General features: G+C 44.1%; 1 protein-coding gene across 5 annotated transcripts in view; it reads right to left on the bottom strand.

Moving 5' to 3' along the window:
* The window catches only part of EYA2 (EYA transcriptional coactivator and phosphatase 2), a 294,002-nt gene that overhangs the window by 87,061 nt on the left and 187,057 nt on the right, over positions 1–19,884 (bottom strand). For all 5 annotated transcript variants that reach the window (NM_005244.5, NM_172110.4, XM_017027721.3 and 2 more), the window contains 2 exons: positions 12,403–12,545; positions 4,616–4,699 (listed from right to left, as the gene is read on the bottom strand). In NM_005244.5, the coding sequence (NP_005235.3) occupies positions 4,616–4,699; positions 12,403–12,545 (227 nt within the window). The remainder of the gene's footprint in view (positions 1–4,615; positions 4,700–12,402; positions 12,546–19,884) is intronic.

Here is a 19,884-nt window from a genome sequence, read left to right as displayed (position 1 = left end):
CTACATCCTTATTACTTCTCTGACATCCAAGCTTAGAGCTATAGTGCAGACCTCTCTCTGGAGCTTCAGACCTACAAATCCTGTTGTCCCTCAGGCCTCTCAAACATAACTAATTTTATGTTTCCTCATCAGTTTTCTATTTAATTGTTTTTCCTTTTACTATACAGTACTTTGGGCTAGAAATTGCTAGTTGTCCTCTAATACCCATTCTTCTTTTCTCCCTCTCAGAGTAATAGAATATCTAAATTTTAACTGGCCATGACAGCCTCAAATAAAGAGTACATTTCACAGACTCCCTTGCAGGTAGATGAGGCCATCTGACCAAGTTCTGCCCAATAGGATAAGAGCAGAAGTGATGCCTGCAACTTCTGAGTCTGGCCTTTAAAAAAGTGGGGCTTGCTGGGTGTGGTGGCTCAGGCCTGTAATCCCAGAACTTTGGGAGGCCGAGGTGGGAGAATCACTTGAGCCCAAGAGTTCGAGACCAGCCTGGGCAACACAGTGAGATCCCATCTCTACAAAAAACTTTTAAAAATTAGCTGGGCATGGTGGCACTTGCCTGTTGTCCCAGCTACTCAGGAAGCTCAGGTGGGAGGCTTGCTTGAGTGAGGAGTTTGAGGTTACAGTGAGCTATGATTGTGCTACTGCACTCCAGCCTGGGCAGCAGAGCAAGACCCTGTCTCTAAAAAAATTAATAAAAATAATAAAAAAAGAGGGACAAGAAAATAAAAATATCAAAAGAGAGGGGCAAGTCCCCCTTTTCCTATTCTTGCTTACTGGCTGGAATGCAGACATGGGGGTAAGCTATGATTTATCTTGCCAATGCTGGTGACACTCCAAAAAATGGCAGGGAATAAGACTGTAGAGGCTGTGGTCTCTGGTGCTGCACAGCAGTTTCCCCAGCTTGAACTGCTTCCATCTGGACTGCAGGGGAGTGAAATAAACTTGCATCTTGTTTAAGTCACAATTATTTTGGGTCTCTCTGAAGGTTGCTAGATTTAGCAAATGATAATACTCATTCATTCCTCACCTTAGCGAGAGCTGGAGGAGGGAATGGAAAATTCTAGGAGAGTCATGAAGATGGCACAGGCGATCTGGGTGCTCTAACAGCTTTTCACCTCAGTTTTCCCTGGACATCCAGAGATCACACAGGAAGGCAGGTGAGCTTGAGTCTGATTCTCATGCTTTCTTGGATGATCTTACTCCCTCTGAGCCTCAGTTTCTCCTTATGGACGATGGAGACTAACTGGACATGATGATCTCTCAAGTCCTTCCAGCTCTAATCTTCTATGATTCTGTAATTCTAGGATGGATGTTGAAACTCAGATACCAATGGGGCCAGAGAGTCCCAAGAATGGGTTAACCAGGCCAGGTGGGGGCTGCGATGGGCTGGAGAATGTCCACCCCCCCTAAGAGGGCAGTCCTCCTCTGCTCCTGTTGATTGTGGCCCCAGGGGAATGCAGGATTGCCAGATTTCTAATTTTTCAAGAAGAGCTGGAAATCTAGATTGTTTTGGTCTGTGCAATCTCCTGATTTTTAAATGTTGGCGACACATTCACATTTTTTCAAACACTCTGGGGGCCAAAGAGAAATATCTGCAGTATGAATTTGGCCAGCGGCCACCAGTTAAAAATTTCTGTTTTGATACTATTTTCCTTCCTTCCTTCCTTCATTTAACAAATATTTACTTGACACCTACTAAGTGGGAGACACTGTTCCATGCACTGGTGATAAAGCTATGAACAAAACCAAACCAAACCAAACCAAACCAAACCAAACCAAAGGTCCCTGTCCTCGTGCAGCTTAACATTCTAGGGGATCACCCTGATTCATTCATTCAACAAATATTTATTGAGCAATTCTGCCCTGTGTACTGCGCGTGGTTGGGGAAATAAAAAAAAATGTTCATGGTCTCTGCCCTTATGGTGCTTATAGCCTAGAAGGAAGACATAAAATAAAAATAAACATAATTATGACATGAATGGAAAACACAGTTATGAGGACAGACGCAATTTAGATGGAGAGGAGTACTGAGGAAAGTCCTTTTGGAGGAAGCTACGTTTTAAATGAGAACTGAAAGATAAGTAGGATTTAACTTAATAAAAGAACATTCTAGAACATCTTAGATTATAGCAGAGGCTTCCAGTGTGCCCCAGCTCCACGTCCCCTCAACTGTCACCATTCCTGTACATATATGAAGAAACCTTCCACAGTTAGCATTTGTGATGCTCTACCCTGGGGCTCTCTTTTTATTGATTGAGTGATTGATTGAGACAGGGTCTTGCTCTGTTGCCCAGGCTAGAGTGCAGTGGTGCGATCATAGCTCACCACAGGCTCAAGCGATCCTCCCTTCTCAGCTTCCTGAGTAGCTGGGACCAAAGGTACACACTATCACACCAGGCTAATTTTTAAGTTTTTTAAAGAGATGGGGTCTCACTATGTTGCCCAGGCTGGCCTCAAGCAATCCTCTCACTTCGGCCTCCCGAAGTGCTAGGATTATAGGTGTCAGCCACCAAGGCTGCCCTCTGCGGCTTCTTGGGGACAGGCCAGAAGTGCAAGGAGACAATTTCCAGGAAAAGCCTTCAACGCTTAATGGAAGGGAATTTGCAGGTAAATATCCCAGCTCCCTCACTCCTTGGGTGGGTTAACACTGTCCCTGGTGGGACTTAGCCCCAACTGCCCACGGCAGTAACTATTATATTTGTGTAATTTGTATTGGCTTCCTTTCCCTCCTTGCCTGAATTCCCCACTACTTCCTGGGATTACCTCCCAGATAGATTACTCGCACTCACTCTTTGTCTCAGGATCTTCTGGGAGAAACCCAGCAGCGATGGGAGAGAATGTGGCAGGTTCAAGGACCAAAAACAACTCAGGGTAAGAGCAGGAAAGGAGGCTGGAGAATGGGGCAGGAGGCTACTCATGAAGAGCCTTGGAGGCTGGGGGTAGGCTTGTCAATGGGGAAGCCACTGAAGATTTTTCGGCTGGAGAGTGATATGGCCAAGCTTGCATTTCAGGATGACTCCAATGTAGGGGGCTGCAGTGGGCAAGAGTAGAAGCTGGGAGACCAGATAGGAAGCCGAGTTGGAGGTGAAGGTGGCTGGAATTGGGTGGTGAGGTGGGAGAGAGGTGGCTGGCAGTGAGGAATGGCATGGGCCAGGGGACATGGGGCCCAGAAAGGAACTCGGGGCTTTGTCTCTGACTTGAAGGAGCCCACAGTTTGGTTTGAGGAATGTTGGTGAGACACAGATACAAAAATCATACCCAAGATCACACATCCCTACACAATCCATACTAAGTGAGTTGTTGCACGGAGCTATGGAACTTCACAGCAGGCTGCCTCTAAGGGCAAGATGAGTGAGTGCCTGTGTCTCAGGGGAGGTGACTTTACAGGAGTGGTTAGGAAAACCATAAAACACCACGACTTAGCAGGCAACTTACTACTGTGGCCCCTTTGGGATAGCCCAAATTTTTGCAATGGCTGTGGAGCCCATTCTTCAGTGTTTTCAGCAGCTCTTGACTCTGCCATCTTTTACCTAAGCTGTGCACAGTCCAAAAATGCATGCTGGATTTCCCACAGGCACTGCTAGACATATTAACGGCATTCCTACACGGCAAGAGATTTCTGCACCACCAACACCATTTTTATATTCTTTACAACATAATGGCAGACGATAAATCTATCTTGCTAATTACACATCCAGCTTGTTATAACCCCCATAAAAAACATGAGCAGCTGGAAAAGCCATGAAGTGATGTCAAATCATATTCCTGGTCTCTAAACAGAAACAGAAATATTTTCCAGGCGCTGGCAAGTCTCAAGGTTCCTACCCATGCGTGGAAGCAGCTGCCAGTGGGTCACTCACCTCTGAGGAGATGAAAACTAGGCTGTCGTCTTAAGTACTGCCCTTCCACCCCATGCGTGCCCCTGAAGAGATGACAGATGTCTAGGGCATCCACTCGTCGTCTGTTCAGTAGCCCATGGGATGAACCCAAATAATTGACAAGGTTTGAGTTTTAGCAGTTGAGTTCATTTTTGCATTATTAAAGTGGTTTCAAGGTCTCTTCCATCCACCACGATTCAGCCAATAGCATTTGCCTAGAATTCTAACTAGATGGTTCCCCGACATAATTTGTTGATGATACATTTGCAAAACGATTGCTAAGATCCACACTGGAGCTGACAATGCCTCCCCCTTGTCTCAAAAAAACAGAAGGAAAATTAAATTCATCTGCCGGAGACACTAGGATAAACAACAGGGAAGAAGAAAAGTACTTTACCTCGTTTTCTAGCTAGAATTACTGGCTTTGGCTGCACCATAGCCCACTGTCTTAGGAAGGGAGACGGCTGAAGACAACAAGTGTATTTCCTATCAAGTAAATGTTGATTGCTTCAAACGTTGGAAGAAAAGGCATGGAAGACAATAGAAGGGGAAGCTAATTAAATTTTCACATGGCAAAGGAAAATGTCATAGGAATTTTTAAACCTGGGCTGACCCCAAAGGGCAGCTTTTGTTGGAGAAGCTGCCTCATAAACTGTCCGCACAATTTCCAGGACAAACTGGCTGGACAATAACGTTGAAAACAAAAAAAGAGAGAGAGAGACAAAATGGATTCTTACCTTCCCGTATCTGGATGCAAATGTCCCCGTGAGTAAGGAGTGAAAAATAATTATTGTCTCATCCAAGTCCCACACGAACACACGCTGTGATGAAAGAGAGGAAGAGAATGGAGAAAAATGGACTCACGTGCATCTGACTTAATGTCTGCAGAAATTCATTCCCTTGGAGGAAAAGAAGTCTCGAAAAACATTATCTTTAGTTACAAAACATGTAACTCACTGATGTGTCATGAATCCCCATCCAACCTTATCTGTGTCATGTGTATTCGGATGCCCAGTTTTTGGGCTCTTATCAACTCAAAAGATGTCAGAATCAAGAAGTCTGTCCTTGCCTTCCATATAAAAGCTCAAAAAGGAGGATTCAGGCCAAAATCAACAACGAAAATCATATAACTCGTTTTACAAAATGAAATACCACCATTTTAAATTCACTGTTCACCATACGCTCAACTATTTCTGTTTTTAGCAAGTCTGGTGATCACCTCTATAATTCTAAGTAACATATTTATACCCTTACTGATTTTTCAACTTGAGACAATATCTTTTGACTGGGCAGTCTTAAAAGATGAGGGTTTAACTCATGGAAATCTCTGTTGTTTCTCTGGAAACTTACATTTTTCTCATATGTGAGTCCCTCTATTCCAATTCTCCTTGGACATTCTCCCTTGGCTAAAAAGGTAAACAAACATGGAGCTATCGATATGGGAGTCCCTACCTTTTCCCATACATCCTCCCCGCTCTAATGTCTATCAGCTGTAGCTTTACCTTCATATTGTCAATGAGGATAAACTTGTTTGTACATTGGTTTTATAACTAAGGTTAAATTTTCTGCACTCTGCCTATGTCAATTTTAAAAGTTGGTAACTAGTAATATACATTTACATTTTGTGATTATTGTTCACTACAGAGCCAAGTAATATGCTAAGATTGCATTGTCTTCTCTATGTGTCCAATGTCATATCCCCAGATTGATTTTAAGGAGAATGCCCCTACCATTGTATGTATTCTCTTTACTTGTACTCCATCATAATTAAAATAATGTCATATCTCAGTTTGTTCATATATGTATCATACCTGTCTGATGTAACTTTTTTGGTTTTGTCAGAATTTATTAATTTTTTCTTGTTTGCAACAATGTACCTTCATTAAAATGTCAAATTCAGCCACACACTCTGTATTGGAGATATCTATCCTCAGTGATAGAAACCTCCAATGTGGACTGGATCATTTTTAGGCTTGCTGCAGACTTCCCTTCATTGTATTTCTGGGTTGGATCCACTGTTTTCTGGATCCCAAGTCTCTCTTCCTTGGTTTTCTTCCTTGTTTTGCTTGAATACATCCTTAAGTTGCTTTTCCTGAAATGGTACATGGAAAGTAATCTTCCTGAATTCTCGAATATCTGAAGTTATCTTTATTTTTCTCTATAGTTTCTCTGGGTACAGAATTCCAATTTGAAAACAATATCCTCTAGATCTTTGAAAGAATTCTTTCATCATTTTTTTTAAGTGTCCAGGGTCACTGATGAGAAATCTGGTATTTCACTGTTCCTCAGTCCTTGTAGGTTTTACCTTTTTTTTCTTTCTAGAATTTTAAAGGATCTTTTCTTTACACTTGGTATCCTCAAATTCCATGAAGATATATCTGGGTATGGTCTTCTTTTTAATGAATTCTGTTTGGCACTTCAGCATTTTCAACCCAATGACTTGCATCTTTCTACAGATCTGAAAATTTTTATTTTCTTATTTCTTTTAATAATTTTCTCCCATCTTTTCTACTGTTTTCTTTTTGTGAAATTCCCAATAGTCAAATCAAACCTTTTGGGTTGATACTGCCTTTCCTTGTAAATAATATTTTTTAATAAATCTGTCTTTTTGATCTGTGTTCTGGGAGATTTCTTAAACTTTCTCTTATAACCCTTATTAAATTTTTGATTTTTGCAGTAATTAAAAGATTTCCAATAACTTTTTTTCCCTCTGAGTATTCCTTTCCCAGTAGCCTCCACTTTTTATTTTATGGATGCAAGATCTTGAGTTTTTATATGAAAACCAATTAGAATTTTCCTAAGTTATTTTATGTTTCTTAAATTACTTCACTTCTAACTTATCCCATTTATTTACCTTGGCCTTTATTGTTTTTAATTAAAAAAATTTTTTTTGAGACAGGGCCTGTGTGCAGTGGCGTAATCATCACTCACTGCAGCCTAGACCTCTCCAGGCTCAAGCGATCCTCCCACCTCAGCCTCCTGAGTAGTGGGACTACAGGCATGTGGCACCATGCCTGGCTAATTTTTGATCTTTCTTTTTGTAGAGACAGGGTCTCGCTATGTTGCCCAGGCTGTTCTTGAACTCCTGAATGCAAGCAATCCTCCCCACTTGGCCTCCCACAGTGCTGGCATGGTGAGCCACTACGCCTGGCTAATCTTGTTCTTTATTTTTCATACTGTTGATTTTCTTTATTTTTCTGGTGATCATTATTTTCAAGGACAAAGGACCTGACTAACTCTGTAGCTAGTGTTGAGAAGGGGAGGCAAATGTCCCTCCCCAGTATGCAATCTTGAGTGGGCCACCTTTTAAAACTCTCTGGAGGTCAATGGCTGTATTAACACAATGGCATTTGCCATGCCTTTGAAAGTTAAGAGAAATATCTAGAATGAAAAAGGTATTAGCATCCCAGATTCTCTAGTACAGGGATTTCTGAAGCAATTAGTAAGGCTAAGTATTATTTCATAAATCTTTTGGACCAGTTATATTTATGTGCATATATATGCTGGGCCATCATAGTAAGTATATTTCTTATTACGGGTCATGGTAAAAATGTTTGAAAATCAGTGTTTGAGAAGGACCTTCTGAGATTCAAATATGCCAAGTCCTAACTTATCTGAATTCACTGGGGTTGAACTTAGGAAATTAAATTTAGAAATTTCAGTAATAGAACTTTTAAAAATCAGCAAATATTTTCAAATTTAGTGCAGGCTCCCTTACTTTATCCATTAAATCCCCTCTGAAAAAAATCCATCCCTTTCTCCTACTACCTCACCATCCTCGATTCTTAGTGGGTAAGTTCCTGGTGGCCATTCTGCAGGTGACCCTATTCCCTAGGCCATCATGGTGCAGACCAGGGTGCGTCCTTAACCATGGGTGGGTCAGAGACCTTTTATTTTGCAATTTAAAATTGGGGCTAGGAAGAAAGTAATTGTCTTTTGGGGAGGGCTATTGGTGGCCAAGTTTAGCCATGTGATCTGAAGGGGAGACAAGGGCAGCGTAAGGCACATGGATGTGCTTTGGTCAAGGACTAGGCTGAGATGGATACCCAGGCCTGCGTGACTCAGCGAGTTTGGCGTGCAGGTGCATACCTCCACTTGTTATATAACCTGTTTGTGTAGTTCATACTTGGCTTGCAGTCACTACTGTCTTTAGAAGATATAATTGCCCTGCTGACGCTGTGCACAGGGCATGGCTCTTGGCTCAGTTTGGCTCAATGTGGCTCTTGTGCAGGCGCTGGTGCCCAGAGAGGGAATGAAGCTACAGGCCCCTGTAAGGGAGAATGACTGTTTTGCAGATAGACAGAGGGGAGCCACAGCACAGCTTGCGCTGGTGCCCAGAGAGGGGAAGAGTTAAGCTGCTGACCCTGAAGGCAAGGGAGAGCCGGCTGCGCGGCTGCAGCTGTCAGGGCAGCAGGAGCCGCAGAGCTGAAGCAGACAGCCGAGATAAAGGTGGACAATGTGAGACAGCTAATGTGAGAAAGCTGCTGATGAGAAAGCTGCTAAATAAAACTACATTTCACCTCCTATGGCCCCCTGAGTGTTCTTTCTGCCCATCCACCCACTCCCCTCGGACTTCAGCATGGGCTGGACCCAGACCCCGGGATCTGACAGGTAGTCTCCAGAGACAAGAACAGAAGGTGAAAGATACAAACAAACTAACACTTTACCAGGACCTGGTTTCATTGGGAGTAGAGGGAAAGGAGGAGTGAGGAGGCCCAGAGGAGAGCTGTGCCCAGTAACTAGCACATGAAGGCACGGCCAGGACACTATAGTTTGGGAGTTCTGTCATCTTCACTGTGGCAAATGGGAAGAGAAGGCATACATGCAGTTTCTTGTCCCTGTCTCCCTTGCTGGTTCCAGTGCCTCGCTGATACTCTACTCTACTTCTGTCCTTAAGTTCTAAGAGAGGCCCTGTATCCTTAAAATAAATTCTGCTTTTTCACCTAAGTAGCTCAAGTTGGTCCCTGGCACGTGCAGCTGAAGGATTTTAACTAATACATGCTCAGAATTTTCCTCCTTTCCACTTCCACATAATTTCTCTCCCGTGGGCTTCAGTCATTAGCAAAACAGCCAAAGACTTAAGAGGTGTGACCCAAGCAAACCTTCTATGATGACATTAAGCATAGAAGTGAAACACAGCTCACACCTTTTCAATGGTTCTTGCCAGTGGTACTTATGCTGAAATCAAGAAGCAGATGTTTCCAGAATAATATCACCCTATAATCCCTGACTTCTATGCCATAACCCTCCCCACCTCTTTCTCAGTTTAATGGAAAAATCTCTCTCTACCCCCGCCGTTCCCCTACAGAGAGCAGAAAACATGTTAGGTGACTGAATAATTTTCTTGTGGGGAGGGAATATTATGTATGTGTGGCTCTCTGTGTTTTCGAAGCTCTGCAACTTCAAGCTGGTAGGAGATTCTAGGAATATGGGAAGGCAGACAGCAAGTACAACCTGACGCCAATACGTTTTCTTTCAGTCTTTTGCAAAGGCCTAAACCCACTGAAGGGATTGTGCAAAATCTCCTCTATTTGGGGAAAGGATGGAGCTTTAAGAACAAGGCAAAAAGCAAGGACAGAATTCCCTGGACTAAGAATGGCCCCAGGAACAGTGGGAACACTTGCTCTGCACCAGGTCTCTAGCATGGATCAAGGCTACTGGTAGATCTCGGGAGGCTGACCAAGTGTAGGGCACCAAGCATGATGTTCAGGATATTTAATATCTTCCAGGGTGATCAGAACCGACCCCAGCTATAAACAACTGCTACAGGTGAACTAGGGACCACTGGCTAAATATCAAATGCCCTGAACATGCTGAAGTCAGCATGTGTTGCTTGGAGGTCCCGGTCCCCACCCCTAGCTTCCAACTTCAGGGCTTCTGAAAAGAGCATCCTAGTTTTCCTTCCCCATTGTGTGCTATTTTGGTGGGGCTGTCAATTAAGGGGTAAGACCCAAGCTAGGCCACTGGGATACTGTCTTCTTGGAATCGGACACCGAAGGACAGGACACTGCACTCTAAAATGTTTGCTTTCTGGCATTCCTAGATTTCTCAACAATGTCTTTGTTACTTTCTTTCTAAACTTGGTTTTACGGCCTCCTCTCATTGTCCTTTCCTAGTAAATTCATTTTTGCTTAAGTAACCAGAACTGGTTTCTTTTTTTTGAGATAGGTTCTCAATTTGTCGCCCAGGCTGGAGTGCAGTGGTGTGGTCATGGCTCAACGCAGCCTCTACCTCCTGGGCTCAATTGATCCTTCCACTTCAGCCCCCTGAGTAGCTGGGACTACAGGTGTGTGCCACCATGGCTGGCTTTTTTTTTTTTTTTTTTTTTTGGTAGAGATGGTGTTTTGCCATGTTGCCCAGGCTGGTTTCAAATTACTGGACTTAAGCAATCTGCCCACCTCGGCCTCTGAAAGTGGTAAGGTTATAGGCGTGAGCCACTGTGCTGGGCCCGGTACTGGTTTCTGTTGCTTGCAACCAAAGAATTGTAGCAAATATTTCAAGGTTCTCAGGCTCAACAAAGATTTCCATACCCATTGTATAGCATGGAAACACCAGAGAGTGGCTGGACTTTTAGTGACGACTGCAGGCTTTGACAATGAAGGTGGCAGGGGCCACCCAGCCACACTGGACGTCAGAGGCTGGTCTGGTTTCTGAGACCACTTGACCCCTGGATTCTCATTTAATCCTGGGAGTGGAGGGTCCCTAATAATGAAATGAAATTTCTTACCATCTGGTGGCATGGGGACTCAGGGTTAAAATTACATTGCTTTTTAAGGAAATGACAAAGGTGATCTTTCTCAGTGTGTTTGAGTTTGTGGCTGAGCATTGCAGCTGCCGCATAAAGTATACAGATTATAAATAGGGATGTGACGCTGGTGTACTTGAACTGCCTGGCACTGACAATCCTACCGAGACACCTAGCACACTCAGGCCAGCAACTGACTGCCTTTTTCAAAGAAGTATAAACCGGTGAGTTTGCTCATTTTCCTCCCTTGATAAGACAACAGTAGCTTACTTCCGGTTTTGGGGCATCCATTTTGCCTATTTCTACTGGTACCCTCCCCTAGGCATAATGTTTTGTTTTTGGGAAAATGTCAGTACCTGGCCAATACTACTACACTTGCATAACAAATGACAAGTATAGAGATCTAATGTGCAACACAAGAATTAGAGTTAACAAAGTTATATTGTATTAGGGATTTTTGTTAAATAAGTAGATTTTAGCTGCTTTTGTCAGACAGAAAAAGTAACTTTGTGAGATGGTAGACTTGGTAATCTGTTTCATGATGATTATCATCTTACTATCTGTATGTATCCCATAGCAACCTGTTGAAAACCTCATGTATACCTGATTAAAAAAAAAAAAGTCCGGGCATGGCGGCTCACGCCTGTAATCTCAGCACTTTGGGAGGCCAAGGCGGGTAGGTCAGTTGAGGGCAGGAGTTCAAGACCAGCCTGGCCAACATGGTAAAACCTCGTCTCTACTAAAAATACAAAAATTAGCTGAGCATGGTGGCGTGCACCTGTAATCTCAGCTATTCAGGAGGCCGAGGCAAGAGAATCGCTTGAACCTGGGAGGTGGAGGTTGCGGTGAGCCGAGATTGTGCCACTGCACTCCAGCCTGGGTGATGGGGGAGCCAGAGAGAGGCTCCAATTCAAAAAAAAAAAAAAAAAAAGATTGGAGCATCCCTGACCACTAGTTCTCAGCCTGAGCTGCACACAGGAATCACCCACGGAGCTTTAAAAACACTGATGCCTAGCTTCTACCCTCAGGGAATAGGATTTAATTGGTCTGAGGTGCAACTTGATAATGAAGGTTTCTCAAAGTCCTCATGTGATTGTCGTGTGCAGTCCAGGTTGAGAGCCCCTTTCTGAGAAGTCAGAATCCCAGAATCCCAGAAATAGAGGCACACTCATTAGAGCCAGCCTCCACACAGATCAATATCTAAGCCTTATTAGAGTCCCCACCGAGAATGTTTAAAACTCCCCTCCTCCCCCCTAGTTCCTCCAGTGAGTCTTTTCAATTGATCTGGGATGGGGCCAGGGTATCTGTTTTTTAAAGAGCATCCCAGATGATTCTGCTGTGTAACCAGGGTAGAGAACCACTTTAACCCAGCTGGAAGGTCGGAGGCCCATTCTTTTCTTTATCAGGGACTCTCAGAGTGTGGTCCTCAATCCAGAGCATCATAATCATCTGGGGGCTTGTCAGAAACGTAAATTCTCATGCCCTGCCCCAGATCTGCTGAATTGGAAACTCTTGGGCTGAGGCCCAGCAATCCCTGATTTCAAAAGCACCATCCCCCACCCCCCAGGTGATTCTGATGCTGCTTCAGTTTGAGAACCTCTCTTCTGTCCTGGCCCCAGGACTACCTGCTTGGACAACCTCATGCTTCCCTGCTCATGCTTTGTAAAACACGAAGGGCGATTCTCCGCCTCGTACTTGGAGAAAACTCTGTCCCCACTCTTGTTTGGGCCTCAGATGGAGATTACATTCACCAGGTCACACAGAGCCCCTTTGGATTACCTCAATCTCATTGTCCCCTGCCGGGGACGGGTCACTGCTCCTCTTAGACCGGCCTCGGAGCTTCCCGTCGGAGGCCCGGTGCGGCCTGTCTGTGTCTCCCTCTTTCGCTGGTGTGGAAGGTCCATTGTGTGTGTTGTATTCACCTGGCGTAAGAAAGGGAATGGTGGACAAATCAGAAGCTTTGCTGGGTGTCTCCTCCTGGGAAATATCCCAACAGCACCGTCTAGCTCCAAAGCAGTGGGTTCCAAGGCAGCACCAGAGGCAAAGATCTCGTAGGATGAAAACTGCCCTTGGAAGTCCCTTAAATTGCCCATTGGTGACCTTCATTATCTTTCATCCATCCAGCAGACACTTGGTCAGCGGGCACTGCTCCAGGCAGTGGGATTATGTCCTGGTTCTCACAGCACTTCAACGCTAGTGAGAGGAGACAGTCATCAGACACATCGACAAGTAAGCATACACCAAGCCCGGGAGGGAAATGTGCCACAGAGAATTAACAAGTCAGGGGGCCCGGCGTGGGGGCTTACGCCTGTAATCCCAGCACCTCCAAGGTGAGAGGATCGCTTGATTGCTTTGAGACCAGCCTAGGCAACATAGCAAGACCCTGTCTCTATGAAGTATAGAAAAGTTGACCTCGTGTGGTGGTGCATGCCTATAGTCCCAGCTACTCGGGAGGCAGAGTAGGAGGGTCGCTTGAGCCCAGGAGTTAGAGGTTGCAGTGAGCTATGATAGCGCCACTGCACTCCAACCTGGATAACAGAGCGAGGCCTCTTCTCTAAAATCAACCAATCAAGTATTCAATCAATCAGGGTGGGGCAGCGGGGAGGGCTGAAAGGTGACTCATTTATATGGGGCTAGTCAGGGAAGGCCTCGGTCAGGGAGTGAGGGAGGGGCCACTGGATGCTGTAATGATGGAGGAGTTATGCATTTACAACTCTCTCAATCTGAAATCCTGAGCATGCCTAGATGAACAGAAGGAGGGCAACACGTATTTATCTGTAGCTGAGCATTACACTCTTCCACCTTTAGAAGATTCCCCTCTCTCTGCCCCAGAGGTAAACGGGGGCTGCATGGGAAGGATTCTCTACTTTCCTCTCCCTGCTGGGCTCCCTCTATTCTCTATTTTTTTATTTTAATTTTTATTTTTTGAGACGGAGTCTCGCTCTGTTGCTCAGGCTGGAGTGCAATGGCGTGATCCCGGCTCACTGCAAACTCTGCCTCCTGGATTCAGCAATTCTCCTACCTTGGCCTCCCAAGTAGCTGGGATTATAGGCACCCACCACCATGCCCGGCTAATTTTTGTATTTTTAGTAGAGACAGGGAGACGAGGTTTCACCCTGTTGGTCAGGCTGGTCTCGAACTCCTGACCTCAGGTGATCTACCTGCCTCGGCCTCCCAAAGTGCTGGGATTACAGGCGTGAGCCACTGTGCCCCGCCACTTCTCTATTAAATGCAAGCCTTTTAAGCTTTACCTGCTGAGAGCTGTCAATCTGAGAAGTAAATGAGATTATATAGGCGAGAGCATCTAGCACAGGCCTGGCAGTTAGGAGGTGACTTGAATGGAGTTCTGGCTGGAGTCAACCCATGGATATGTGTGGATTAGTGAGAGACGCAGCACAGAATGTGGGTCCTTGCTGCTTCTCACTTTGGGGTGCTCCTGGGTGTGGCCCCACTGAGAGGCTGTCACACTTGTGCCCACCGGCGATTGTCTAGTGGTCCCCAACAAGTGAAGCAGCACTGTCCCCGACCCAGGTCCTAAAGCCAGCATCAGAGCTGTGTTGCTGCTTACGCACAGATGTTTTAAATGCATGGCTTTTGATTGTACTTTACTATCCTTATTTAGCTAACGAGGTAACTCAGGTTTAGTGAGGTGACTTACTGGACCATGTGAGTCTGCAAATGAGTGGCAAAGCCAGAACTAAAATTTGGACCTGTCCTTGTCACTCGTGAGTGACAGAACTGTAAAACAGCGTGAACCTTCGAGGACATCCCATCCCATTTTCTCACTTTACAGTTGCTTGGTTTAGCTCCCAAATGTGTCACACAGACCCCATCCTTCCTGCCCTAATTGCCAGTTCTTGGATCATCAGGGGAAAATCCTTTGTCTAAAAAGACTTGGCTAGGGAGAGTTTTTTTCTACACTGAAAGAACTATTTCCCTTTAAGACCCAAGGGACTGAACTTTGTTTATTTAATATTTATAAAAGCTTCTTAACAGACTAAGGACATAATAAGACAAGACATGATTTTGCGCTGTCAGGATGGCTGGGTGTTTTCCACCTCCCCAGAGTCTTCAGGATGCAGCATGAGAGATTCCCAAACATTGAGTGAGCAAAGACTTTCCTCTGGAAAAAGAATTTCTTCTCAATTCACAGATGCTGAAGAGCAATGTAAATAAGGTCTTTCCTGGTTCACTTGGTAGTTTAAGGCTACTGGGCTTAGAAAACATTTGTTTGCCCCCCCCATTAAAACAGGCAAATATTAAAAAGAGGGGTAAATGCTAGTTATCTAAGAAATGTCTAAAATAAGGTCTGTGTGAAACCAATTTCGCAGGGGTGCCAAAAAAAAAAACAACAAAAAAACAAACAGAAAAACCCAGGCCTTTACCCAAACGTACACATTCTTGAGAATGAGGAGTGATATGGTTTGGATCTGTGTCCCCGCCCAAATCTCCTGTCAAATTGTAATCCTTAGTGTTAGAGGCGGGGCCTGGTAGGAGGTGACTGGATCATGGGCATGGAGTTCTCATGAATGGTTTAGCACCATCTCCCCTCCCCGGGTACCGCACAGTGAGTGAGTTCTCATGAGATCTGGCTGTTTAAAAATGTGTGGCACCTCCCCTGACCCCCTCCTTTTCCTGCTCTGGCTATGTAAGACGTGCCTGCTTCCCTTTTACCTTCCGCCATGATTGCAAATTTCCTGAGGCCTTCCCAGAAGCTGAGCAGATGCCAGCACCATACTTCCTGTACAGCCTGAGGAATGATGAGACAATTAAACCTCTTTTCTTTAGCTGGGATTACAGGCACACGCCACCATACCTGGCTAATTTTTATATTTTTAGTAGAGATGGGGTTTCACCATGTTGGCCAGGCTGGTCTCGAACTCCTGACCTTAAGTGATCTGCCTGCCTTGGCCTCCCAAAGTGCTGGGATTACAGGAATGAGCCACTGTGCCCAGCCATTAAACCTCTTTTCTTTATAAATTACCCAGTCTCAGGTATTTCTTTATAGCAATGAGAGAACAGACTAATACAGAGTAAAAGTTCAAGGTCACAGTCAGAGATCCACAGGATAGCACAATTTATGTAAACCTTTCTTGGAGTAATTTCATTCTTTTTCTTTCTCTCTTTTAATGTGTTTACTTATTTAACGCATTACTGAGGCACAACTGACATACAATAAACTAGACATATTTAGAGTACACAATTTCTTAAGTTTTGACGTATGTACACATCTGTGAAGCCATTGCCACAATCAACATAATAAACAAATCCAGCACCCCAAGAATTTCCTTGTTATCCCTTTGGATAAGCTCTTCCTCCAGTTACCCTCCCCAGAAAACCACTAAACTGCTTTCTTTCACTATAGACTTTGGTTTGAATTTTCTAGAGGTTTAAACAATTGGAATCATATAGTATGTATTCTTTTTTCTGGCTTGTTTTGGTCAGCATAATTGCTTTGAGATTCAGTACATGCGGTGTTTATCGATACTTCATTTCTTTCTTTCTTTTTTTTTTTTGAGACAGAGTCTCCCTCTGTTGCCAGCCTGGAGTGCAGTGGTGAGATCTTGGCTCACTGCAACCTCCGCCTCCCCGGTTCAAGCGATTCTCCTGCCTTGGCCTCCTGAGTAGCTGGGATTACAGGCATGCACCACCACGCCCAGCTAATTTTTGTATTTTTAGTAGAGACAGGATTTTACCATGTTGGCCAGGGTGGTCTCGATCTCTTGACCTCATGATCCGCCCACCTCAGCCTCCCAAAGTGCTGGGATTATAGGCATGAGCCACCATGCCCAGCCTAATATTTCATTTCTATTGCTGAGTACTATTCAATTGTATGGATACATCAGAATTTGTTTATCCATTCGCCTGTAGGTAGACGTTTGGGTTGATTCTAGTTTTCAGTTCTAATAAGGCTGCTATGAACATTAATTCACACATTGGTCTAGATGTAAGCTTTTTATTTTTACTGAGCTTGTTTGCTAGGTCATATAATAAGTAGTGTTTAACTTTTGAAAAAATGGATGAGGCTGGGCATGGTGGCTCATGCCTGTAATCCTAGCACTTTGGGAGGTCAAGGTGAGAGAATTGCTTGACCCTGGGAGTTTGAGACCAGCCTGGGCAACATAATGAGACCCCCGTCTCTACAAAAAATACAAAAATTAACTGGGTTTCATGGCACACACCCATAGTCCCAGCTACTCAGGAGGCTGAGGCCAGAGGATCACTTGAGCCCAGGAGGTTGAGGCTGCAGTGAGCTATGATCACACCACTGCACTCCAGCCTGGGTAACAGAGTGAGAACCTGTCTCAAAAAAAAAAAAAAAAAAAGAAAGAAACAGATGAATTATTTTCCATAGTGGTTGTACCATTTTCCAGCAGTGGATGAGAGTTCTGGCTGCTCCACATCCTTGCCAGCCCTTGGTATGGTCCGTCTTTGTGATTAAAGCCATTCCAGTGGGTATGTAGTGGTGTCTCATTGTGAACTTAATTTGCATTTCTCTAATGATTAATGACATTTGGCATCTTAATCATGTGCTTTTGGCCATCCCTATATCTTCTTTGGTGAGGCATCTATCATCTGTTCAAATATTTTGCCCATTTCTTTATTTTTATTTCTTTATTTTTTGAGACAGGGTCTCACTCTGTCAGGCTGAAGTGCAGTGGCACAATTACAGCTCCCTGCAATGTTGATGTCCCGGGCTCACACGATCCTCCTGCCTCAGCCTCCTGAGTAGCTGGGACTACGAGCCTGCACCACAACACCTGTCTAATGTTTGTATTTTTTGTAGAGACAGGGTTTCCCCATGTTGCCCACGCTGGTCTTGAAGTCTTGGGCTCAAGCAATCTGCCGTCCTTGGCCTCCCAAAGTGCTGGGATTAGAGGCGTGAGCTACTGCACAGAGCCAGCCTTTTTTTTTGAGACAAAGTCTCACTCTGTCGCCCAGGCTGGAGTGCAGTGGCGCAATTCTGGCTCCCTGCAACCTCCGCCTCCTGGGTTCAAGCGATTCTCCTGACTCAGCCTCCCGAGTAGCTGGGATTACAGGCACATGCCACCACACCCAGCTAATTTTGTATTTTTTAGTAGACACAGGGTTTCACCATGTTAGCCAGGCTGATCTCAAACTCCTGACCTCAGGTGACCTGCCTGCCTTGGCCTCCCAAAGTGCTGGGATTACAGGCATGAGCCACTGCACCTGGCCCTGCCCATTTCTTTATCAGATTGTTTGCTTTCTTATTATTGGATTTTGAACACTCCTTCTATATTCTATATAAACACATGCTTTATTCGAGATATGCCTTGCAATTATTTTTCTCCTGGACCATGGATTTCTTTTCATTCTCTGAACAGTTTTAAATTTGTATGAAGTCCAGTTTATATTCTTTTTTTCTTTTTGGATCATATTTTTGGTGTTACATATGAGAAATCTTTGCCTAAATCAAAGTCACAAAACTGTCTCCTATGTTTTCTTGTAGAAGATTACAGTTTTATATTTAAGTCTATGATCTATTTTGCATTTTTTTTGTGTGTCATGTGAGGTATGAAGTATAGATAATCAGTTGTTCCACGATTTTTTTTTTTTTTTTTGAGATGGACTCTTGCTCTGTCACCCAGGCTGCAGTGTGGTGGCATGATCTTGGCTCACTGCAACCTCCACCTCCCTGGTTCAAGGGATTCTCCTGCCTCAGCCTCCCAAGTAGCTGGGATTACAGGTGTGCGCCACCAAGCCTGGCTATTTTTTTGTATATTTAGTAGAGACGGGGTTTCATCATGTTGGCCAGGCTGATCTTGAACTCCTGACCTCAGGTGATCCACCTGCCTTGGACTCCCAAAATGCTGGGATTACAGGCGTGAGCCACTGTGCTCGGCTGTTCCAGCATCTTTTGTTGAAAAGACTGTCCTTTCTCCATTGAATTGTCTTTTGTCAAAAATCAGGTGACCATATACATGTGGGTTAATTCATTTATTTACTGTGGAGACAGGGTCTTACTCTGTCATCCAGGCTGGAGTACAGTGGTATGATCATAGCTCACTGTATCCTCAAACCCCTGGCTGAAGCAATTCTCCCACCTCACCTTCCTGAGCAGATGGGACTGCAGGCACAACCCACTGCCTGGGTTATTTTTATTTTTTTGCAGAGACAGGGTCTTGCTATGTTGCTCAGGCTGGTCTCAGACTTCTGGCCTCAAGTGATCCTCCCTCTTCGGCCTCCCAAAGTGCTGGGATTACAAGCACGAGCCACGGCACCCAACCTATTTCTGAACTCTCAATTCTGTTCCATTGATTTATTTGTCTATTTTTATGCCAGTGCTGCATTGTCTTAAGTACTGTGGCTTTAAAATGGATTTTAAAATCAGGTAGTCTTAGCCCTCTAACTTTGTTCTTCTCTACAAAAGTCATTGTGGCCCTTCTTGGTCCTCTGCATTTCCATTTAAAGTTCAGAAACAGCTTGACAGTTTCTTAAAAAAAGCCTGAGATGTTGATAGAGATTGTATTAATCTTATAGCTCAATTTGGGAAGAGCTGGCATTTTAACAATATTAAGTCTTCTGATTCACGAACCAGGTATATATCTCCATTTATTAATGCCTTCTTTAACTTCTCTCAGCAGTTTTATAGGTTTTAGTGTAAAGTCATGCATATCTTTTGCCAAATTTAACCTTGAGTATTTCACATCTTTGATACTATTTCAAATGGCATTTAAAATATTCTATTTCCTGTTGTTTGTTGATTTTTAGATATTCACCTAGTACCCTGCAACACTGCTAAAGTTACTTTTTAGATCTAGTAGCTTTTTCATAGATTCCATCAGATTTTCTACATAGGTGACCAGGTCATTTTATCTCTTTACTTCATGAAGTTTTACTTCTTCTTTTCTTATTTTTAAAAAATTTTAAATTAAGTTAAATAATCATATCTTTGGATGAAAATTATTATATTTAACTGTCTGGGTTAAAGTGAGTTCTTAAATATATTTTCATTAATCATTATTTATATTTGCATGTTACTTAATAATTGGCAGGGTTGGCTGGGCACAGTGGCTCACGCTTGTAATCCCAGCACTTTGCGAGGCTGAGGCAGGTGGATCACCTGAGGTCAGGAGTTTGAGACCAGCCTGACCAACGTGGTAAAACCCCGTCTCTACTAAAAACACAAAAATTAGCCGGGCATGGTAGTGGGCGCCTGTAATCCCAACTACTCAGGAAGCTGAGGGAGGAGAATCACTTGAACCTGGGAGGCAGAGGTTGCAGTGAGCCAAGGTCACA

This window comes from Homo sapiens, chromosome 20 (assembly GCF_000001405.40).
Source record: "Homo sapiens chromosome 20, GRCh38.p14 Primary Assembly".
Lineage (NCBI taxonomy): Eukaryota > Metazoa > Chordata > Mammalia > Primates > Hominidae > Homo > Homo sapiens.
Note: the sequence above shows the minus strand (reverse complement) of the source record. Positions and strands in the feature narration are given on the sequence as shown.